The 25,333-nt window shown below is 38.2% G+C and overlaps 1 protein-coding gene and 1 long non-coding RNA gene across 3 annotated transcripts in view; one reads left to right on the top strand and one right to left on the bottom strand.

The window, feature by feature from the left end:
* Positions 1 to 1,332: 1,332 nt before the first annotated feature.
* FABP12 (fatty acid binding protein 12) overlaps positions 1,333 to 25,333 on the top strand; it is a 65,159-nt gene continuing 41,158 nt past the window's right edge. Inside the window, exon 1 of the mRNA XM_011517577.3 lies at positions 1,333 to 1,419. The gene's annotated coding sequence lies outside the window, so the exon portion shown is untranslated. The remainder of the gene's footprint in view (positions 1,420 to 25,333) is intronic.
* LOC101927118 (uncharacterized) overlaps positions 12,028 to 25,333 on the bottom strand; it is a 117,987-nt gene continuing 104,681 nt past the window's right edge. For both annotated transcript variants that reach the window (XR_001745980.2, XR_242492.3), the window contains exons 7-9: positions 21,951 to 22,096; positions 19,675 to 19,791; positions 12,028 to 12,177 (exon numbers count right to left, since the gene is read on the bottom strand). This is a non-coding gene — a long non-coding RNA (uncharacterized LOC101927118). The remainder of the gene's footprint in view (positions 12,178 to 19,674; positions 19,792 to 21,950; positions 22,097 to 25,333) is intronic.

Genomic DNA, 25,333 nt, shown 5'->3' with positions numbered 1-25,333 from the left:
AGTTTTCAAACATGACTGTTGGAAAGACTCAATTTAATAATAATTGCAAACAACTAAGTACATAGTCTGGCATGTAGAAAGCACATGATGATAACAATCTAATATTGTTTTAAGTTTCCCAAAGACAGGATTTCAAATTGTTTTGTTCACTCACTGCTGTATCTCCAGGGCATGGAACCGTGCCTGACACATCGCAGGTATCCAATAAATATTTATTAGCTGAATGACTTCAAGGATGAAGAGAACCATAATGGAAATAAAATACAACAATGCAGATGAAATTAAACCACAAAGAAGTTCAACATTGCTTGCTGGAGCCTTGATAAATTGAATCTAACAAAGTCTAGCTTTTGGGGAATCCAAAACAAAAACCAAAAAAAACTCAGTCTGCTCCTCCCATCTTTATCCACTAGAGGGAGGCTATTACTTAACATAAGTCAGTGTTTCCCAAGCTCAGATGAAGCTGTTTTAAAATGATGAGTTAGTGGAACAATGATGAGATCTAATGGCCTGTCCTGCACATTTTTATTTAAGTAGATGGTTAAAATAAATAGTCTCAGGCTGGGAGGGGTGGCTCACGCTTGTAATCCCAGCACTTTTGGAGGCCGAGGTGGGCGGATCACCTGAGGTCATGCGTTTGAGACCAGCCTGGCAAACAAGGTGAAACCTCATCTCTACTAAAAATACAAATATTAGCCGGGCATGGTGGCACGCGCCTATAGTCCCAGCTACTTAGGAGGCTGAGGCAGGAGAATCGTTTGAACTCAGGAGGCGGAGATTGCAGTGGGCCGGGATCGCACCACTGCACTCCAGCCTGGGCGACACTCATCTCAAAATAAATGAATAAAATAAAATAAATAAATAAATAGTCTCAGATCAAATCAAGTAGCAGTCAAAAGAAATTATCAAAATGTGATTCCTACAGTCATTCAAACTTTGTAAAAGAAGAATGAACACTAAATAAATCCTTTTTATTTTATTAGCAGAAAGAAGCAAAATAAGTAAAGCTGAATTTTTTTAAAAAAATCTTTGGGCATTCAAATTATGATGCTTTAAAAACGTTATCACTTGATTGTTTTAGGAATGAAGATTAGCCGGTATTGCTGCTTTTTTGCATGTTTTCTTGAAAGCTCAATCCAGACAATTTGAGAATCATAATATTTTGCATTTCATTACAACTTCTTTCTGTCTCTTATTCTTGGATGTAGTTTGTAAAGTATAAATGGTCCCTGTAAAACCAATGCTGAGCATATGTTGAAATGGTGAGAAGCATAAATAGAACAATAATCCTCTAACAGAGCCTGGAAATCCTCTAACCTCAGAGGACTCATTGTTAAGTGCTGCCTCTGCATAACATGCAGGTGGAAGTCCCATGGTCTTTCCTCAGGTTCACTTCAATTCTCTTCTTGGAATTCTCAGGTAGGACAATCTATTGCTTAAATGGAGATTATGTTATCACAATTAGAACAATTTTAGAAATGCCTTTTGAACTGATTATATATGTGTAAATAATACAATGTTGTCTGGAATTTTTCATGTTGGAATTTCAGTGGCTCAAAATTATGAACAAAAGTCATTATATGGTTCAAATTTTAAATTCAAGAAAGCATCTATATTTAAGGCCAACTATTTCCCAAAAGGCTAACTAGAGAGAGACCACTCAGAGCCAGCTGTTTTCTTTGGGTACTTGATGCCTGCCTGCACAGAGGGGAAAAGGCAGCCTGTTTTAGAAGGTGGTTTGCAGGGAGAGAGAGATGCTTTGCTCCCAGCAACCCAAAGAGCTGGAGGTGCCAAAAGAATCTTCATAAGTTTTGGTGCTGTCTAAAGAAAAGGAAGATTGATACTTATTTTTTAAATGTCTGCTTAAGCAGGGGCTTGTCAATCTTTCTTATTCTCCCTAAACAGGGGGAAAGTGAATTGGGTGACCTGCTGTCTCAGGGACTGCCAGGTTAGGAGTGGGGCCAGGGGGAGGTCAGCGCTGTTTGTGATTTCTGGGAGGTGAAGGTGATGGATCCCCTGTGTTTTTGTCAGCTGGAGAGATGTTGCAGACAGAAGAAGGGTAATTTGTTTTATTTTTTGTAGATACTAGGTCTCACTATGTTGCCCAGGTTGGTCTCAAACTCCTAGGCTCAAGCAGTCCTTAATCCTTGGCCTCCCAAAGTGCTGAGATTATAGGCATGAATGACCCTGCCAGGGCTTGTTTTGTTTTAAAGGATTCATTTCTGTTCATTTTAAAAAATTAACTCGCAAATTTAATTTGAAGATTCCTCCCATGACTCCAGCATTGGCAAGATCCAACTATCCAGTCCCAGTCTTTTTCCTTCGGGAAGGCGGCATGATTTGCTCTTTATGGAGCTTTCCCTTTTCTCTCCTCTAGTTGCTGGTTCCTTCAGCATCTTGAAAGGCATAAATATATCCCTACTTATGCAACCTGAGGGAGGTCACAGTCACCTCATCCATAGTTGCTGATCTGGAGTGCTGTGCTTAGGGATGGGCTGTGGCTCCAACATGCCCTATTGAAGTGGGTTCAAGCCTTTAAAGCTCCCGTGATTCACTTCTAAGTTTGGACATATCCACTGCCAGCCCCCACCTGGGATATTCATATGGCTTTCATCTGATGACTGCACCTCTTTGTTTCTCCTCCTGTGGTGTTTCCAGCAAACCTGTATCTCCAAATCACGTCTCCTTAAAGGGTCTGTTATTGTACTGAGTGGGGAAACATTTAAGACCTTTCCTATAAGATTTAAAATAATACTAGAATGCTTACTTTCACCAGTTTTATTCAACATAATACTGGAAGTCCTGGCCAGAGAAATTAGGCAAGAGAAAGTAATAAAGGGGCATCCAAACTATAAAAGAAAAAGTCAAATTAGCCTTATTGACAGACAGCATGATCTTATACTTAGAAAGACATAAAGACTTCACAAAAAAACTGTTGTAACTAATAAATTCAGTAAAGTTGCAGTATACAAAATTAACATACAAAAATCAGTAGCATTTATACATACCAACAGTGAACAATCTAAAAAAGAAATCAAGTAAGCAATCCCATTTGTAATAGCTACAATTTACAAAGAATATAAAATACCAGAAGTCCTAGCCAGAGCAATCTGTCAAGAGAAAGAAATAACAGGCATCCAAATAGGAAGGGAGGAAGTCAAACTATTCCTTTTCACAGAAAATATGATTCTATATCTAGAAAACCCCACAGTCTCTGCCCAAAGGCTCTGTGATGGTTAATATTGAGTGTCAATTTGATTGGATTGAAGGATGCAAAGTATTGTTCCTGGGTGTGTCTGTGAGAGTGTTACCAAAGGAGATTAACATTTGCGTCAGTGGACTGGGAGAGGCAGACACACCCTCAAAACTGGGTGGGGATCATCTAATTAGCTGCCAGTGTGGCTAGGATAAAAGCAGGCAGAGGAACGTGGAAAAACTAGACTGGCTTAGTCTTCCAGTCTACATTGTTGGATGCTTCCTGACCTTGAACATCACACTCCAAGTTCTTCAGCTCTTGGACTCTTGGACCTTTGACCACTGACTGAAGGCTGCACTGTCGGCTTCCCTACTTTTGAAGTTTTGGGACTTGGACTGGCTTCCTTGCTCCTCAGCTTATAGATGGCCTATTGTGGGACTTCACCTTGTGATTGCCTGAGTCAACACACCTTAATAAACTCCCGTTTATTTATATATACATCTATCCTATTAGTTCTGTCCCTCTAGAGAACCCTGACTAATACAGGCTCCTAGATCTGATAAACAACTTCAGCAAAGTTTCAGGATACAAAATTAATGTACAAAAATTAGTAGCATTTCTATACATCAATAATGTCCAAGCTGAGAGCCAAATCAAGTTATTGGCTCTCAGTTTGGGCATTACTCGTGTATAGAAATGCTACTAATGCTTTTGTGGCTTCAAAATAGCCAAAATAATAAAATATCTATAAATACAGCTAACCAGGGAGGTGAAATATCTGTACAATGAGAATTACAAAACACTGTTCAGAGAAATCAGAGATGACACAAACAAATGGAAAAACGTTCCATGCTCATGGATAGGAAGAACCAATATTGTTAAAATGGCCATACTGCCCAAAGACATTTACAGATTCAATGCTGTTTCTATCAAACTATCAATGACATTTTTCACAAAATTGAAAAAATATTCTTAAATTCGTTTGGAACTAAAAAAGAGTCTGAATAGCCAAAGCAATCCTAAAGAAAAAGAACGAACCTGGGAGCATCACATTACCCAATTTCAAACTATATTACAAGGCTACAGTTACTAAAAAAGCATGGTACTGGTCCAAAAACAGACACATAGACCAATGTAACAAGTCAGAGAACCAAGAAATAAAGGTGCACACCTACAACCATCTGATCTTCAATAAAGCCAACAATAACAAGCAGTGGGGAAAGGGCTCCCTGTTCAACAAATGGTGCTGGGATAACTGGCCAGCCATATGCAGAGGATTGAAACTGGACCCCAACTTTTCACCATATACAAAAATTAACTCAAGAGAGATTAAAGACTTAAATGTCAAACCCAAAACGATAAAAATCCAAGAAGGAAACGTAGGAAATACTATTCTGGACATTAGCCCTTCCAAAGACTTCATGACAAGGACTCCAAAAGCAATTACAACAAAAACAAAAATTGATGTGGGACTTAATTAAACTAAAAAGCATCGGTACATCAAAAGAAACTATCAACAGAGTAAACACACAACCTGCAGAATGAGAAAAATATTTGCAAACAAATCAACAACCAAAAACCAAACAGCCCCATTAAAAAAGTGGGCAAAGGACATGAACAGACACTTCTCAAAAGAAGACATACAGGTGGGCAACAAGGACAGGAATAAATGCTCAATATCACTAATCATTAGGGAAATGCAAATCACAACCACAGTGAGATACTATCTCACACCAGTCAGAATGGCTATTATTAAAAAGTGGAAAATAATAGATTCTTGTGAGGTTGTGGAGGAAAGGGAACATGTATACACTGCTGGTTAGAACGTAAATTAGTTCAGCCATTGTGGAAAGCAGTCTGAAGATTTCTCAAAGAACTTAAAATAGAGGTACCATTTGACTCAGCAATCCCATAACTGGGTATATACCTAAAGGAATATAAATTGTTCTATCATAAAGATACATGCATGCGTATGTTCATCACAGCACTCTTGATAATAACAAAGACCTGGAATTAACCTAGATGCCCATCAACAGTCGGATGAATAAAGAAAATGTGGTACATATACATCATGGAGTACTACACAGCTATAAAAAGAATGGGATCATGTCCTTTGCAGCAAAATGAATAGAGCTGGAGGCCAATATCCTAAGAGAATTAACACAGGAATAGAAAACCAAATGTTGCATGTTCTCACTTATAAATGTGAGCTAAACATTGAGTACACATAGACACAAAGAAGGGAACAATAGACACCAGGGCCTACTTGAGGGTGGAGGGTGGGAGGAGGATGAGAAATGAAAAACTACCTATTGAATATGATGCTGATTATCTGGGTGACAAAATTATTTGTACACCAAACACCCACAACATGTAATTTACCCACGTAACAAACCTGCATGTGCACCCTTTGACTCTAAAATAAAAGTTGGAAAGAAGAAAAAGAAAGAACATAAAATACATAGGAATCAATTTAATCAAAGAAGTTAATGATCTATTTAAAAAAACCAATAAAACAGTGATGAAAGAAATTGAAGAGGACACACACAAAAAATGTGAAGTTATTCCATGCTCATGGATTAGAAGAATATTGTGAAAATGATAATACCCAAAGCAATTTACAGATTCATCAAAATTCCTACCAAAATGCCAATGATATTCTCACAGAAATAGATAAAACATCCTAAAATTTATATGGAACCACAAAAGACCCTTCATAGGTGGAGCAATTTTAAGCCAAAAGAACAAAGCTGGAAGCATCACACTACCTGACTTCAAATTTTAACATAAATCTATAGTAACCAAATAAGCAGGAGACTGGCATAAAAACAGACACATACCAATAGAACAGAATAGAGAATTCAGATATAAATCCAGATATTTACAGCCAACTCATTTTCAATGAAGGTGCTAAGAACATACAATAGGGAAAGGACAGTCTTTAATAAATGATGCTGGTAAAACTGGATAACTATATGCAGAAGAATAAAAATAGAACCCTTATCTCTCACTATACACAAAAAGCGGCAAATCACAATGAATTACAGACTTGTGTCTAAGACCTGAATCTATGAAACGACTAGAAGAAACATTGAAGGGATGCTCCAAGACATTGGTCTTGGCAGATTTTTGGGCTGTGACCTTAAAAACACAGGAAACAAAACCGAAAACTGACAAATGGTATAACATCAAACTGAAAAGCTTCTGCACAACAAAAGAAACAATCAACAAAGTGAAGAGACAATCCACGGAATGGAAGAAAATATTTGCTAACTATCCATCTGACAAGGGATTTATAACCAAAAGATCTGACTAGATATTTCTCAAAAGAAGACAAACAAATGGCCAACAGGTATATGAAAAGGTGCTCAACACCACTAACCATCAGAGAAATGCAAATCAAAACTATAATAGATATCATCTCACACCAGTTAAAATGGCCTTCCTCAAAAAGATTATTATCTAATAAATGCTGGTGAGAAAATGGAGAAGGAGGAACCCTTGTACACTGTGGGTGGGAATGTAAATTAGAATATCCACTATGAAGAACAGTACGGAGGTTCCTCAGAAACACTAAAAATAAAATCACCATATGATCCAGCAATTCCATTTCTGAGTACATATCCAAAAGAAAGGAAATCAATATATCAAAGAGATATCTGCAGCAGCTTGGCTCACAGGGGATTGGGTCAGGGTGGGAAGCCACACACCTTGTGTTCCTAATCTAGGGCAATGCAGCTGTGTGAATTCCTAGTAGCTCTTCAAACTGGTCTCAGAAATTGTGAGGACTGTGGGATTTGCCTGTTGTAAAAACTGTAGGTATCTGCTGTGGCAATGGAGGCTGGTAAGAATCTTTTGCTTACTTACCTTTTACCTATAATGGGAAGTCTCTTCTGAGTCCAGGCCAATCTGATCTGAGTGGGGAAGATGGAGCTGCAGAGGCCGGTGCCTCCATGCTTCTCTCCTGGACTTGCAATCACCACAGGTGCATCTCCACTCACCTCCTGCAGTCTAACACCACGCCTTTGACACTCTAGTCAAATCTTAGCTGTTTATTCATTGACTTGGTCCTTTCTTGTTGGGGGAAGAATTCTAGGCTTCTTTACTCACCCAACTTGCTGGTGTCACTCTCCAGGATGTTGAATTTTATCAAATGCTTTTTCTTTGTCCATTGAGATGATTATATGTTTTTTGTCCTTCAGCCTATTGATAGGATGTATCACATTGACTGATTTGTGTAGTTGAACAATCTTTGCATCCCTGGAATAAATCCACTTGATTATGGTGTATTACTTTTTTGATGGGGTTTTGGACACAGTTTGATAATATTTTGTGGAGGATTTTTGCATCTACATTCATCAGTGATATTAGCCTGTAGGTTTTTTATTTTTGTTGTGTCCTGTCTGCTTTTGGTGTCAGGGTAATGCTGGCCTTATATAATGAGTCAGGGAGCATTCCCTCCTCTTCAATTTTGGAAGAGTTTGAAGAAAACTAGTGTTAGTTTTTCTTTAAATATTTGTTAGAATTCAGCTGTGCAGCTATCGATTCCTGGCTGTTTCTTTGTTGGGAGACTTTTTATTATTACCTTGATCTTATTACTTGTTATTGGTCTGTTCAAGTTTTCTATTTCTTCCTGACTCAATCGTGGTAGGTTGTATGTGTCCGGGAATTTATTCATTTCCCCCAGTCTTTCCAGTTTTTTAGTGTGTAGTCATTCATAATAATCTATGATGCTCTTTTGTATTTCTGTGATATCGGTTATAATGTCTCCTTTTTCATTTTTGATTATGTTTATTTGGGCATTCTTTCTTTTTTTCTTGATTGGTCTAACAAATATTTTATTAATTTTGTTTATCTTTTTAAATGAACAAACTTTTTGTTTTGTTGATTCTTTGTCTCTATTTTGTTCAGTTCTGCTCTGATCTTTGTTATTTCTTTCCTTCTGTGAATTTTGAGTTTTGTTTCTTCTTGCTTTTCTAGTTGCTTGAGGTGCATTGTTAGATTGTTTATTTGAAATATTTCTACTTTTTTGATATAGGTGCTTATTGCTATTATAAACTTCCCTCTTGTCACTGCTTTTGTTGTATCTCATAGGTTTTGACATGTTGTGTGCTGATTTTCATTTGATTCAAGAGGCTCTTGATTCTTCATTAACTTCTTCCTTGACCCAGTGGTCTTTCAAGAGTCTGTTGTTTAATTTTCATATATGTGTATAGTTTCAATGTTTCTCTTTTTATGCATTTCTAGTTTTATTCCATTGTGGTCTGAGAAGGTACTTAATATAATTTTGATTTTTTAAAATTTGCTGAGACTTGTTTTGTGTCCTAACATGTGGTCTATCCTGGAGAATCTCCCATGTACTGAGAAGAATATGTATTCTGTAATTGCTGAATGAAATGTTCTGTCAATGTCTGTTAGGTTAATTTGATCTAATGTTCAGTTTAAATCCAATATTTCTTTGTTAAGTTTCTTTCTAGATAATCTGTTTAATGCTGAGAATGGGGTATCAAAGTCCCCAACTATTACTGTATTACAGTCTCTCTCTCCCTTTAAATCTAGTAATATTTGTTATATATATCTGGATCCTCAGTGCATGGTGCATTTATGTTTAGAATTGTCATAACCTCTTGCTGAAATGATATCTTTATCATTATATCATGACCTTCTTTGTCTCTTTTTACTATTTTTGACTTAAAGTCTATTTTATTTGATATAATTATAGCTACTTCTGCTTGCTTGTGGTTTGTTTCAATGGAATATCTTTTTCAATCTGTTTACTTTTAGTCTACATGTGTCTTTACATGTGAGGTGAGTTTCCTGTAGGTAGCTTATAGTTGGGTCACTAAAAAATCCAGGGCTGGGTGCAGTGGCTCACGCCTATAATCCCAGAACTTTGGAAGGCCAACGCGGGAGGATCACAAGGTCAGGAGTTTGAGACCAGCCTGGCCAACATAGTGAAACCTTGTCTCTACTAAAAATACAAAAATTAGCCAGGCGTGATGGAGTACGCCTGTAGTCTCAGCTACTGGGGAGGCTGAGGCAAAATAATCACTTGAACCCGGGAGGCAGAGGTTGCAGTGAGCCGAGATTATGCCACTGTACTCCAGCCTGGGTGACAGAGCGAGACTCCATCTCAAAAAAAAAAAAAAAAAAAAAATTCCAGTTAGCCAATGTATTTCTTTTAAGTGGAAATTTAACCTATTAACATTCAAAGTTATTACTGATACATTGATGCTTATTTCATTTTATTAATTGATTTATGGTTGTTTTGTTTATTTTTTGTTTTTTTCTTTCTCTCCTTGTTTCAGTGTCATTTGGTGGTTTTCTGTATTGGTAATATTTGAGCTTTTCCTCTTCCTTGTTTGTGTGTTTGCTCTACCAGTTGTTTTCATGTTTTTGTGTGTTTTCATGATGGTAGATACTGCTGTTTCACTTCCAGGTGTAGGACCCCATGAGCATTTCTTGTAGAGTCAGTCTAATTGTGATTAATTCTCTCAGTTTTTGCTTGTTTAGAAAAGACTTTATTTCTCCTTCATTTATGAAAAATAACTTTGCTGGGTATGGAATCTGTGGCTAACTCTTTTTCTTTCAGCATTTTGAATATATTATCTCATTCTTTCCAATCTTGTAAAGTTTCTATTCAGAAATCCACTGTTAATCTGATGGGGGTTCTTTTATAAGTGACTAGATGCTTTTCTCTTGCTGCTTTTAGAATTCTCTCTGTCTTTGACATTCAAAAAATTGACTATAATATGCCATGGAGAAGACCTTTTTGGCACTGTATCTGTTTAGGGATGTAGAAATGTTACATTCCCTTATTTGTTCAAAATGAAGTTAAATCTGGTTCTGAGCTTTATCCCCCCAGGATGCTAAGAAATTCAATCTTAGTCATGGGTAGGGAATTCCTTCCCCTTCCTGAGGGTCAAACCAGACTTTTGGAGCAGAAGAGTGTTTCCACAGGTAAAAATATTAGGAAAGAGACACTTATGATCACAATCAAAGTCCTCCCTTTTCAAGCCTTGTGATTGGGTAGCATTGGCCCCTATGGGTTCAACAAAGGCATAAGAGCCTTTAAGAGTGGGCTCTGCCTTCATTCCAGCTTTCATTGTATCCTTGTTGGCACTCTGATTAGAGTTTAGCATTTCTACCCAGCAACAGACTCTTCTCAATCTTTTCCCCGTCCTGTTGATTTTCTCTTGCCCTTGTCTTGGAGACTTGCTCCAGGCCATGCTTTTAGGCCATGCAGTCAAAAGCAAAGTCCTACTATTTCTCCCCTGAGAGTAAGAGAACCTCTAGGATAAAGCAGCTTGGATCAAAAATGTTAGAGAAGCAGGAAAAGTTCTCAGTCTATCCCGAGTCTTACACAATAGGAAGAATAAAATTGAATTTATTATATTTATAAAGTATTCTGTTGTATATTTTACTCAAGACTCTTACCATAGCTTCCCTTTCTGGATGAACAAAAATATGGGTAGAAAGGCCTGTTTTAAGGAGACAGTTGGGCAGGGTGGGTGGGCATAAGCTAGACTTGTGCCTAGGGTCCAGCTGAGAGGCATTGACAGAACTTTGCCTTTGGGGGGACAATGGGAAACTCCAAGAGACTAGATTGTGGCCAACATCTGGATTCTGATGCAGAAAGTACATGCTTTGTCCATAGAATGTGTCTTAAAACAACTAAAGAAGACTAGATGCTAGTTCTTCCTTTATTTTTTTTTTGTGATAAGTCTATATTTTTACCAACATATTGAATGTCTGTTTACCCTGTGTAGAAATGATAAGGTAGTTACTTGGGCAGACCACTGGCCTTTTTAATTAATAGAAGAGTTTTATTTAATGAGCTCATTTTGTTGACAATATATTCAAAGCAAAGATGTTATGGCTCAGATTAAAACTTATAAAAGTAAAATAGAGTTCATCTAAAGGCATGTAAGTGTATTAGTTTCTATTTCAAATAGCAGTAAATTGGGCAAATAAAGTGGCACCAAAATAAGATTTAAAAATTTTAACAAATTACATATATTTGTAATTAGAACCTAAAAACTTACAAACATGTTAAATCTCTCATTCTAACTTTAGTATCACTAGGGACTTGGAAAGATATGTTTAAAAGGTGGCCTGGCAGGGGTATATTTGTTTAGGTGCTTGATGGAGCTCTACAGGAGCTGACAGCTGTTGACCAGTAAGGTCAAAATGCAACAATATAGGGACAATTGTCACGCTTTTCTCTTACTGGCAAGTACCAGGTGGAAAGTAGGTGTGTACATTGTTTTTTACAAATTTTAAACCAGTATGTTTACAGCTCAGTTTTGTCTCAGAAGAGAACTCAATTTTCCTTTGTAAAAATAGCTCATAAGAACCCACTGTTACTTTTTTTTCATTAGGTAAAAAAGAAAGAGAATAAATGCAAATAAAATAGACATATCTGTACATTTTTAAGAATAAAAACCAATTTTCAGATAATTGCTGAAAGAAATATGGTTAAACCTTTGACTTTACATCATCAAAGAAGCATCTCAAGAAACTTCCCTTCAAAACATTTATTTGTAAAATCACTTTGTTTATATCCTGACTCAAGATAATTCAGTCAAAATGTACTTAAGAACGAAGTCATGAATAATGTTAACATATTTGAGGGCATTACACTAGTGACATGCCAACAAGAGTATACTTTTTTCATCTGAAAGAAGCTTAGCAAGTGTCAAAGAGTAATCAAGAATTAATTGCACCAAAATGACATTTGCTTTAAGGGGATTTTTATGTGATGATTTTTCTCAGATATTTGTCAATCTAAACATTTATGACATGGCTGGGAAAATAAAGAAATAAAAAAGTCCAAAGCACCTACATATTTTTATTTGAAACTCTTTCATAGAGATTGTTTCTTTTTCCCTATTTTGGTAATGGGTCTTCAGTCGTTTTATCTAAAGAGGATATCTCCTCTTTAGTCAGGCAATTGTTTTATTCATTGCTGTCGGAGAAATCTGAAAACAGTAAAATTAAAGCCATGAGTCAACTGAGATAACATTTGTTTCCTCAGAATTTCACTGGGGAACACTTTAGATTGCAAAAAAAAAAAGTTTTTCTCTTGTGCTAAGTAATTTACTTCCTTATAATGAAAAAGTGAATGAACATCAAAATAGACACTTGAGGCTGGGCGCGGTGGCTCACGCCTGTAATTCCAGCACTTTGGGAGGCAGAGGCGGGTGGATCACGAGGTCAGGAGATCGAGACTATCCTGGCTAACACAGTGAAACCCCGTCTCTACTAAAAATACAAAAAATTAGCTGGGTGTGGTGGCGGGCGCCTGTAGTCCCAGCTACTCCGGAGGCTGAGGCAGGAGAATGGCGTGAACCCGGGAGGGAGGCAGAGCTTGCAGTGAGCCAAGATTGTGCCACTGCACTCCAGCTTGGGTGACAGAGCGAGACTCCTTCTCAAAAAAAAAAAAAAAAAAACTTGAACAAATGTGTCAGATTCTGTATTGGAAATTAAATAGGCCAGGCGCGGTGGCTCACACCTGTAATCCCAGCACTTTAGGAGGCCGAGGTGGACGGATCACAAGGTCAAGAGATCAAGACCATCCTGGCCAACATGGTGAAACCCCATCTCTACTAAAACTACAAAAATTAGCCGGGCATGGTGGCGTGTGCCTGTAGTCCCAGCTACTCTGGAGGCTGAGGCAGGAGAATCGCTTGAACCTGGGAGGTGGATGTTGCGGTGAGCTGAGATCATGCCATTGCACTCCAGCCTGGGCGACAGAGCAAGACTCTGTCTCGAAAAAAAAAAAAAAAGAAAAGAAAATTAAATAATTCTTTTGTCTCAGGCAAATTCTCATTTATATTCTGTATACATAGCAGTGACTTGTATTTTTCGTGTTATTATTTCCCATAAGCCTGCAGACTACTTGAAACAAGGACTTTGGCCTACTTTTATGTAATCACAGAATGATTACATAGGACTAAAATATAATTCATGCTCAATTGCTACTTGTCGAATTATGGTTTTAGTACTATAAACCAATATTTATCTAAATGTATTCTTTTAAGAATTAGGTTCTCTAGGCAGAAGCTCATAAAACATTAGCTCCATGGTGAAATAAATTTGAGGAAACATCTGGTGTATTCTTATGTCGGAAATTTAGTTTCTGCACCTATATTAAACGAGGCTGTGTAAAGTCCTGTGGTTAAAAAGTTCACTGGTGTTTAACCTGATGCTTCCCAAACTAATATAGTCAGAATAATTTTTTAATATACCACAATCAACCTTCCATGGGTCTATTGGGATATTTAGTAAAAACAAATAATTAGAGGATTCCATCATCTAATCCTAGCCTTCAGTGCAACATCCAGGACTATGATTCTGACTTAACTGAAATGTAAAAGTAATTGTGAGAATATTGGGAATAAGATTTAAACACAAAACATTGTAGCTATTCTTGTTCCCTATTCTGGCTCAGAGAATATAACTGTAATAAATTGTGTCCCTGAAAGACCTCATTTATTTATTTACTTATTTTTTTGAGACGGAGTCTCACTTTGTCGCCCAGGCTAGAGTGCATGGCGGAATCTCGGCTCACTGCAACCTCCACCTCCCGGGTTCAAGCGATTCTCCTACTTCAGCCTCCTGAGTAGCTGAAATTACGGGCCTGTGCCACCATGCCCAGCTAATTTTTTTGTGTTTTTAATAGAGACAAGGTTTTGCCCTGTTGACCAGGCTGATCTTGACCTCCTGACCTCAAGTGATCTGCCCACCTCAGCCTCCCAAAGTGCTGGGATTACAGACGTGAACCACTGCACCCAGCCATTGGAAGACTTCTAAAAGAAGATACATATAATAACTAAATATATTAAAGCAGCTAAAGGCCAAGAAACATAATATTCTTTATCTAATACATTTAGTAAAATCAAAATTAATACAACATATTCTTGGGATCTTTGAAGGAAATACCTCCACTGAAATATCTTTTTGCTTTCATATCCCACCTCAAAAATAAATACATAATCTTAATAATCTGTGTTCAGTGTATGTCAAATGTGGAGAAACTAAATTCTTGGTGTGCTGTGTGCCACAGGTAGACTTGTAAAGATGCATGCAAAATTCTACTTCCAGGAATATACCCTATAGATGTATTCACACATGCAAAATGACATGTGCACATTTACTATAGTATTTATTTATTGTAGCAAATAATTGAAAACAGCTAAAGGATCATCAGTAGAAAACTGATTTTAAAAGTATGATAGACCCTCTGGTTATTAGGGATGCTCAAATGTTTTCAGCACTTCCTGGTTCTATTGAGGTGGTATATGGCCATGTGACCCTTTTGTCCAATGCCATAAACAGAAATAACTTCTGCCACTTTTAGATGGAATCATTTAATTTTAGTGTGAGTCTAAAATTCTCTTTTGTACTGCCAAAATGACTAGATAAAGCTTGCTGCATTTGCCTGGATGGCCTACTGATGTAGACATGGAATAGAACTCCTGACCTACTCATGATAAACATATAGCATGAGCTAGAAATAAAACTTTGTGGTTTTAAGCCACTCAGATTTGGGGATAGTTTGTCACTGGAACATACCCTAGGCTATACTAACAGCATATCCATTTAACTGAATGTGAAATGGCTATTCTGTTAAAAAAGGAAACAATTTATGTATTTATGGAGTGATGTCCAATATATATTGTCTAAGATATATTGTTAAGTGGAAAAATCAAGGTGCAGAACAGTATATATAGTATAATGTGTGTGTGTGTGTTTGTGTGTTTGTGTGTGTGTGTTTGTGTTATATATAACATAGAACACCTCTGGAAACATACTCAAGGCCCTCGAAATTTCGATTGCCTATAAGAAAAAATACTTGATAGAGAACTAGAGTGGGAGAAGACCTTTTACTATATACATACTTGCATTTTTAGTTGTGTGAAAATATTATATATTAAAAATTAAATTTGGAGAAATATATATGAATATTTTATATGAATCATTCATTGGAAAAAAATTTCAAGGCCCCCCTCTAAATGCTAATCTCATAAATGTGGCATTGAAAATGGGATTTTTTTGTGCTTCTTATTTGAGATTTTATCACTATCGTTATATCATTCAAATCATAAGTAAAGTCTAGAAATTAAGAGAAAAGTCATTAGTCTTATAGCTGTGTATTTTTGGCCAAGAAAGTCTCCAAATATTAGTTGATTGAAAATTATCATTTTAATTTGCAAATACATTTGCTTTCTTATCAGCTAAGATGTTTTGTTTTTAAATAAAGGCTTCTGATTAGCTATATAGAACAGCGGTCCCCAGCCTTTTTAGCACCAGAAACCAATTTCGTGGAAGACAATTTTTCCATACACAGGGGTTTGGGGAGTGGTGGTTTCATCAGGCATTAGTTAGATTCTCATAAGGAGCATGCAGCCTAGATCCCTCACATGAGCAGTTCACAGTAGGGTTCAGGCTCCCATGAGAATCTTAAGAATCTAATGCTGCCACTGATCTGACAGGAGGCTAGCTATTTTTATATCAGACAAAACAAACTTTAAAGCAACAGCAGTTAAAAGAGACAAAGAGGGATATTACATAATGGTAAAAGGCCTTGTCCAAAGGGAAAATATCACAATCCTAAACATATATACAGCTAACACTGGAGCTCCCAAGTTTATAAAACAATAACTAATAGACTCAAGAAATAAGATAGACAGCAACAAAATAATAGTGGGGGACTTCAATACTCCACTGACAGCACTAGACAGGTCATCAAGACAGAAAGTCAACAAAGAAACAATGGATTTTAACTATACCTTGGAACAAATGGACCTAACAGGTATATACAGAACATTTCATGCAACAACCGCAGAATACACATTCTGTTTGACAACACATGGAACTTTCTCCAAGAAAGACCATATGATAGGCCATAAAACGAGCCTCAATCAATTCATGAAAATTGAAATTATGTCAAGCACTCTCTCAGACCACAGTGGAATAAAACTGGAAATCAACTCCAAAAGGAACCTTCAAAACCATTCAAATACATGGAAATTCAATTACCTGCTCTTGAATGAGCATGGGGTTGAAAACGAAACCAAGATCGAAATTAAAAAATTCTTTGAACTGAATGACAATAATGACACAACCTATCAAAACCTCTGGGATATAGCAAAGGCAGTGCTAAGATGAAAGTTCATAGCCCTACATACCTACATCAAAAAGACTGAAAGTGCACAAACTGACATTCTAAGGTTACACCTCAAGGAAATAGAGAAACAGGAACAACAAACCAAACCCAAACCCAGCAGAAAAAAAGAAATAACCAAGATCAGAGCAGAACTAAATGAAATTGAAACAAAAAAAAAAATACAAAAGATAAATGAAACAAAAAGCTGGTTCTTTAAAAGATAAATAAAATTGATAGACCATTAGCAATATTAACCAAGAACAGAAGAGAGAAAATCAAAGTAACCTCACTAAGAAACAAAACAGTAGGTATTACGACTGACACGACTCTAATACAAAACATCATTCAAGGCTACTATGAACACCTTCACACACATAAACTAGAAAACCTAGAAGAGATGGATAAATTCCTGGAAAAATACAATGCTCCTAGCTTAAATCAGGAAGACTTAGATACCCTGAACAGAACAATAACGAGCAGTGAGATTGAAATGGTAATTAAAAAATTACCAACAAAAAAATCCAGGACCAGATGATTCACAGCAGAATTCTACCAGACATTCAAAGAAGAATTGGTACCGATCCTATTGACACTATTCTACAAGACAGAGAAAGAAGAACCCCTCCCTAATTTATTCTATGAAGCCAGCATCACCCTAATACCAAACAGGAAAGGACACAAACAAAAAAAGAAAACTACAGACTGGTATCCTTGATAAACATAGATACTAAAACTCTTATCAAAATGCTAGCTAATCGACTCCAACAACATATCAAAAAGATAATCCACCATGATCGAGTGGGTTTCATACCAGGGATGCAGGGATGGTTTAGCATATGCAAGTCAATAAATGTGATACACCACATAAACAGAATTAAAAACAAAAATCACATGATCATCTCAGTAGATGCAGAAAAAGCATTCTACAAAATCCAGCATCCCTTTATGATTAAAACTGTCAGCAAAATCGGCATAGAAGGGACATACCTCAATGTAATAAAAGCCATCTATGACAAACCCACAGCCAACATAATACTAAATGGGGAAAAGTTGAAAACATTTCCTCTGAGAACTGGAACAAGACAAGGATGCTCACTTTCACCACTCCTCTTCAACATAGTACTGGAAGTCCTAGCCAGAGCAATCAGATAAGAGAAAGAAATAAGCCATCCGATTCAGTAAAAAGGAAGTCAAACTGTCTCTGTTTGCTGACGATATGATTGTTTACCTTGTAAACCACAAAGACTCCTCCAGAAAGCTCCTAGAACTGATAAAAGAATTCAGCAAAGTTTCCGGATACAAGATTAATGTACACAAGTCAGTAGCTCTTCTATTACACCAAGAGTGAACAAGCAGAGAATCAAATCAAGAAGTCAACCCCTTTTACAATAACTGCAAAAGACAAAACAAAACAAAACTTGGGAATATACCTAACCAAGGAATCGAAAGACCTCTACAAGGAAAACAAAACACTGCTGAAAGAAATCATAGCCGACACAAACAAATGGAAACACATCCCATGCTCATGGATGGGTAGAATCAATATTGTGAAAATGACCATACTGCCAAAAGCAATCTACAAATTCAATGCAGTCCCCATCAAAATACCACCATCATTCTTCACAGAATTTGAAGAAACAATTCTAAACTTCATATGGAGTCAAAAAAGAGCCTGCATAGCCAAAAGCAAGACTAAGCAAAAATAACAAATCTGGAGGCATCACACTGCCTGATTTCAAACTATACTATAAGGCCATGGTCACCAAAACAGCGTGGTACTAGTATAAAAATAGGCACATAGACCAATGGAACAGAATAGAGAACACAGAAATAAACCCAAATACTTAGAGCCAACTGATCTTTGACAAAGCAAACAAAAGCATAAAGTGGGAAAAGGACATCCTTTTCAACAAATGGTGCTGGGATAATTGGCTAGCCACATGTAGGAGAATGAAACTGGATCCTCATCTCTCACCTTATACAAAAATAAATTCAAGATGGATTAAGGACTTAAATCTAAGACCTGAAGCTATAAAAATTCTAGAAGATAATATTGGGAGAAACCCTCTAGACATTAGCTTAGGCAAGGATTTCATGACCAAGAACACAAAAGCAAATGCAATAAATAAAAAAGATAAATAGTTGGGACCTAATTAAACTAAGGAGTTTTGCAGGGCAAAAGAACAGTTAGCAGCAAACAAACAACCCACAGAGTGGGAGAAGATCTTTAGAATCTATATATCTGACAAAGGACTAATATCCAGAATCTACAATGAACTCAAAAAATCAGTGAGAAAAAAACAAACAATCACATCAAAAAGTGGACTAAGGACATGAATAGATAATCCTCAAAAGAAGATATACAAATGGCCAATAAACATATGAAAAAACGCTCAACATCACTAATGAGGGAAATGCAAATCAATATCACAACACAATACCACCTCAACCTGCAATAATGGCCATAATCAAAAAATCAAAAAACAGTAGATGTTGGTATGGATGCGGTGATCAGGGAACACTACTACACTGCTGGTGGGAATGTAAACTAGTACAGCCGCTATGGAAAACAGTGTGGAGATTTCTGAAAGAACTAAAAGTAAAACTACCATTTGATCCAGCAATCCCATTACTGGATATCTACCCATAGGGAAAAAAGTCATTATTCGCAAAAGATTCTTGCACATACATGTTTATACCAGCACAATTTACAATAGCAAAATCGTGAACAAACCCAAATGCCCATCAATCAATGAGTGGATAAAGAAACTGTGGCATATTTATATGATGGAATACTACTCAGCCATAAAAAGGAATGAATTAACAGCATTTGCAGTGACCAGGATGAGACAGGAAACTATTATTCTAAGTGAAGTAACTCAGGAATGGAAAACCAAGCATTGTATATTCTCATTGATATGTGGGAGCTAAGCTATGAGGATGCAAAGGCATAAGAATGATACAATGGACTTTGGGGACTTGGGGGGGAAGAGTGGGAGGGGGCAAGGTATAAAAGATTACAAATATGGTGCAGTGTATACTGCTCGGGGGATGGGTGCACCAAAATCTCACAAATCACCACTAAGGAATTTAGTCATGTAACCAAACATCACTTGTACCCCAATAACTAATGGAAAAATAATAAAAAGAAAAAAAATAATGTTATAGTCATATAGAATATCTTAAAAATCTTAATAGTAAGCATATTTCTGGAAGGATGTTATGATAGACTCAAGAATTGGAGGAAGTCAAGTTTCAATTTGGGTTATTTCACAAAATCTAGAATAAATGATTTATGTAAATTTACCATGTTTCCTTGTGGTTGTTAGTCGTTTCAGTGAATGCAAAGCAGCAGCTTTAAATGACCCCAACATTTCGCTGATGAAGTTTGACAACTGGAGCACAGGAAAACATTGATGATGTTCTGAAAAAGTTGGTTTGGGTTCAGGTTTAGCTCTGTCAGTTACTAGCCATGTGACTTAGTCTCCATGAAATTTAGTTTCTTCGTCTATAAAAAGGGAATAATCCTTCCTCACATAAAATAAGTTACGGTATTTGAAAGTATTTGTTAATAATAGCAGCAGCAGGCCATCCACAGTGGGGGAGGTGTGGGCGGCGGCAGCAGAGGAGGCTGAGGGAGCAGCAGTAGCAGCAGTGCGTCCCCTGTGCCCCACGTCTTCGAGGCAGACATCTGCGCCGCCCCCATCCTCCTACGGCCAGGCGGACCCACCCCAGGGTCCACTCCACATCGGGATGACCAAGTGCGGCTGCAGCTACTCAAGGCCCAAGTTGGGGCTATGGACCTGGGCCTCTCTGCACTCCTGGGGGCCTGGGAAGGTCCCCCACTTGCCCTTGCAGGCTCGGAGGTGCCTGCTCTGGCTGCCTGGCCTCTCTCCTGCTCCCAGCACCAGCTTTGATCTCAGAGCTGGGTTGAGGCCGAGCCCAAGTACTATCACAGCCTGGCCTAGCGTGTTCATGCTGGGGCTCTGCCACTTTGGCCTCCTCCAGACCTTGGCCACCCACAAGTGTAAGTGGGGTGGGGGGACTGAGTGGGGGCCTGAGGGTGGCTCGGCGCTGGCCTGCAGGTGCCTCTTGGAGCTCGCAGCCTGGGTGCCATGGACGGTGGCAGGAGGCATACGGGCTCCTGGGCAGAAGGGGGTGGGTCCCTGTGAGGTCCCATCTTCAGGCCAGGGAGGGCCTGAAGGCTGGGGGCTGGGCTTCCAGTCCTGCGGACCAGAGTGGGGACCTGTGGTACCTTTTCTAGGCCCACTCATGGCCACTCATAAACCAATTGGTGCGCACTTCCTCCCCTTTAAGGCAATAAAAGTCCCGGGTTTAGCCAGAGCACAGCAGAGGACTGAGAGATGACAGGACGACTAGCTGCAGAGAGAAACTACCCTCTCTGCCAAGAGCTGCAGACGATGGGACAAGCTGCCTGCAGAAAGGAGCCACCCACTCTAGGGCCTCCTCTCTGCGGAGAGCTGGAGACAACGGGACAACCAGCTGCAGAGAGGTACCCTCTCTGCTGAGAACTGAAAACTTGTCAGGACGACCTGCCTGCTGAGAGGAGCTGCCCTCTCTGCTAGGAGCTGAACACTAGTCAGGGCACCCTGGTAACGAAGAGGAGCTGCCCACTGCGGTCTTCTCTGAACTGTTTTATTACTCAGTAAAGCTCCTCTTTGTCTTGCTCACCCTTCACGTGTCTGCATGCCTCATTCTTCCTGGTAGCAGAACAAGAACTTCGGACCTGCCAAATGGTGAGGCTTAAAGAGCTGCTATAAGACAAACGGGGCTGAAACATGCGCCTCGCTTGCCATGTTGTGAGCAAAGAGAAGGAGAGAAGATCTGTAGCCCTTTGGGGATCCCAGACCTGGGAGCTCCCTCAGCCAGGGCTGTGACTCACTCTTTGGGTCCTTGTGGATCTTGGCATCTCCAAGCTTCTGGGCACCACCACATTCCCTGGTGCCAGCTGGGGAAGCTGTTTGCAATGCACCGGGTCCAGCTGCAGCCTTGCAGAAAGCTGGCACCAATGCTGGCACCTGGAGCTGCCCGCCCCGTGGCAGCAACTGGCATGCCTGACTGCACAGTGGCCAGACCCCATGCTCCTTGCAGCTCCATGCCTGACTCCAGTCTATCTTGGAGACTTGGGATTCAGGCCAGTAGCATGAACTGAGTGCAGCCTGCCAGGCCGAGCGGGCAGAACGAGCCCAGTAGGCCTGAGCAAAACTTGGGCAAAGGCACCACCGGCCACAGGTTTCTGGCCAGAAAAGCAACACCCCAAAGATCCCGTAACAATAATATTAAAGAAAATGATACTTATTACCTGGAGGGAATGCTTTTATGACTAAGAGACTGCTGGTTTGTTTAACAACAAGGGTAAATAACCCATTTCATTCCCAAAGCTTTTTGGAATAAATTGGGCCCTCTGAGGGGGCTGTCATAGTTTAAAACTGCTTACTCAATCTTGGAGTGAGCATGTACTGTGTTTGCAGTCTCTTCAGTTTGTTCTTTTTGTTTTGATGAGAGATACAGACTAAATGAAGCATAATCTCAGGCTTTGCTCTCTTTTTGTGCTCAACTCACCACAGAGAAACTGAAGACAGAATTGCTAAGTCACCTGCTCCCTTCAGAACTCTGCAGAATCAGTCTGTTTCTTCTAGATGCCATCTCTTGGAGCCAGTGTTGAAAGGCTGTATGTTTCCATTTGAACTCATCATTGTTTAATGTGGCTACAATACAGAACCATACAATAACCACAATGTGAAAAACCGGTTTGATGGCGATCTTGGTTTCTAAGAAACATCTATCTGATTAAGTCAACATTTTAAACACAAATACTTTTTGAAAAATTTTTATGTGGGTATATATCAGATATATATATTTATGAGGTACATGAGATTTTGATTCAGGTGTACAATGTATAATTATTACATCAGGGTTAAGGGGGTATCCATCACCCAAAACATTTATTTTTTGTGTGTGTTACAAACAATCCAATTATATTGTTTTTATTATTTTAAAATTTACAATAAATGATTGTTCACTGTAGTTACCCTGTTGTGATAGATCTTATTCATTCTATCTAATTATATTTTTGTACCCATAACCATCTCTACTCCCCCACCCATCCACCACCACCCTTCTTAGCCTTTGGGAACTATCATACTACTCTCAATCTCCATGAGTTAAGTTGCTTTAATTTTTAGCTCCCAAGAATAAGTGAGAAAATGCAAAATTTGTCTTTCTGTGCCTGACTTATTTCACTTAACATAATGTACTCTACTTCCATCCATGTTGCTACAAATGACAGGATCTTAGTATTCCATTGTGTATATGTACTACATTTTCTTTATCCATTTGTGCATTGATGGACACTTAGGTTGCTTCCAAATTTTGGCAATTGTGGATAGTGCTGCAATAAACATGGGAGTGTAGATACGTCTGATATACTGATTTCCTCTATTTTGGGCATTTACCTAGCCGTGGTGTTGCTGCATCATGTGGTAGTTCTATTTTTAGTTTTTTTGAGGAATCTCCATATTGTTCTCCATAGTGACTGTACTAATTTACATTCCCATCAGCAGTGTTCAAGGGTTCTCTTTTCTTCACATCCTAACCAGCATTTGTTATTGCCTGTCTTTTGGATAAAATCCATTTTTAACTGAGGTTAGATGATATCTCATTGTAGTTTGATTTCTACTTCTCTGATGATCGATGATGTTGAGCACCTTTTTTATATGTCTGTTTTCCATTTGTATGTCTTCTTTTGAGAAATATCTATTCAGATCTTTTGCCCATTTTTAAATCAGATTATTGGTTTTTTTTCCTATTGAGTTGTTTGAGCTTCTTCTATATTCTGGTTATTAATCTCTTGTCAGATGGATAGTTTGCAAATATATTCTCCCATTGTGTGGGTTGCCTCTTCACTTTGTTGATTGTTTTCTTTGCTGTGTGGAAACTTTTTTTTTTTTTTTTGAGACGGAGTCTCGCTCTGTCGCCCAGGCGGGACTGCGGACTGCAGTGGCGCAATCTCGGCTCACTGCAAGCTCCGCTTCCCGGGTTCACGCCATTCTCCTGCCTCAGCCTCCCGAGTAGCTGGGACTACAGGAGCCCGCCACCGCGCCCGGCTAATTTTTTTTGTATTTTTAGTAGAGACGGGGTTTCACCTTGTTCGCCAGGATGGTCTCGATCTCCTGACCTCATGATCCACCCGCCTCGGCCTCCCAAAGTGCTGGGATTACAGGCGTGAGCCACCGCGCCCGGCCGTGTGGAAACTTTTTAACTCGATGTGATTCCATTTATCCACTTCTGCTTTTATTGCCTGTCCTCGTGGAGTATTACTCAAGAGATCTTTGCTCAGTCCAGTGTCCTGAAGAGTTTCCCCAATATTTTTTATTTTAATAGTTTCATAGTTTGTGGACTTAGATTTAAATCTTTAATCCATTTTGATTTGAATTTTGTATATGGCAAGAGAAAGGGGTCTAGTTTCATTCTTCTGCATATGGATATCCAGTTTCTCCAGCACCATTTATTGAAGAGACTGTCTTTTCTCCAATGTATGTTCTTGGCACCTTTGTCAAATAGGAGTTTACTCTAGATTTATGGATTTATTTCTGGGTTCTCTTGTGTCCCACTGGTCTATGTGTCTGTCTTTATGTCAATGCCATCTGTTTTGGTTACCATAGCTCTGCAGTGTAATTTGAAGTCAGGTAATGTGATTCCTTCAGTTTTGTTCTTTTTGCTCAGGCTTGCTTTGGCTATTCTGAGTCTTTTATGGTTCCATATAAATTTTAGGATTATTTTTTCTATTTCTGTGCAGATCGTTGGTATTTTGATAGGGACTGTATTGAATCCCTACCAATGCTTTGATTACTTTTAGTAGTACGGGCATTTTAACAATCTTGATTCTTCCAATCCATGAACATGGAATATCTTTCCATTTTTTTGTGTCCTCTTCAATTTCTTTCATCAATAGTTTATAGTTTTCATTGAAGATCTTTTACTTCTTTGGTTAAATTAATTTATTGGTATTTAATTTTATTTGTAGCTATTGTAAATGGGATTACTTTATTTCTTTTTCAGATTGTTTGCTGTTGGCATGTAGAAATGCTACTGGTTTTTTGATGTTGATTTTGTATACTGCAACTTTTCTAAATTTGTTTGTTGACTCTAATCGTTTTTTGATAGAGTCTTTAGGTTTTTCTAAATATAAGATTATATCATCTGCAAACAAGGATAATTTGACTTCTTCCTTTCCAATTTGTATGCCTTTATTTCTTTCTCCCGTCTGATTGCTCTAGCTAGGACTTCCAGTACTATACTGAATAATATTGGGGACAGTGGGTATCCTTGTCACTTTCCAAATCTTAGAATAAAAGCTTTCAGTTTTTTCCCATTCAGTATGATACTAGTGTGGGTCTATCTTATATGGCTTTTAGTGTGTTGAGATATTTTCCATCTATATATGGTTTTTTTGGTCATGAAGGGATTTTGAATTTTATTAAATGATTTTTTAGCATCAATTGAAATGATCATATGGTTTTTGTCCTTCATTCTATTGATAGGATGTACCACACTGATTGATTTGCATATGTTGAGCCATTTTTGGATCCCTAGGATAAATCTCACTTGGTTATGATGAATGATCTTTTTAATGTATTGTTAAATTTGGTTTGATAGTATTTTGTTGAGAACTTTTGCATGAATGTTCATCACAGATATTGGCTTGTAGTTTTCTTTTTTTGATATGTCTTTGTGTGATTTTGGTATTGGGGTAATACTGGCTTTGTAGAATGAGTTTGAAAGTATTCCCTTCTCCTCTATTTTTTGGAATAGTTTGAGTAGAATTGGTATTAGTTCTTCTTTAAATGTTTGGTAGAATTCACAGTGACACCATCGGGTCACTGATGGCATTCTTTGCTGGAAGACTTTTTATTATGGCTTCTATCTTGTTACCTGTTATTGGT

The sequence above is a fragment of the Homo sapiens genome, chromosome 8 (assembly GCF_000001405.40).
Source record: "Homo sapiens chromosome 8, GRCh38.p14 Primary Assembly".
NCBI lineage: Eukaryota > Metazoa > Chordata > Mammalia > Primates > Hominidae > Homo > Homo sapiens.
This window is presented reverse-complemented; position numbering and strand designations above follow the sequence as displayed.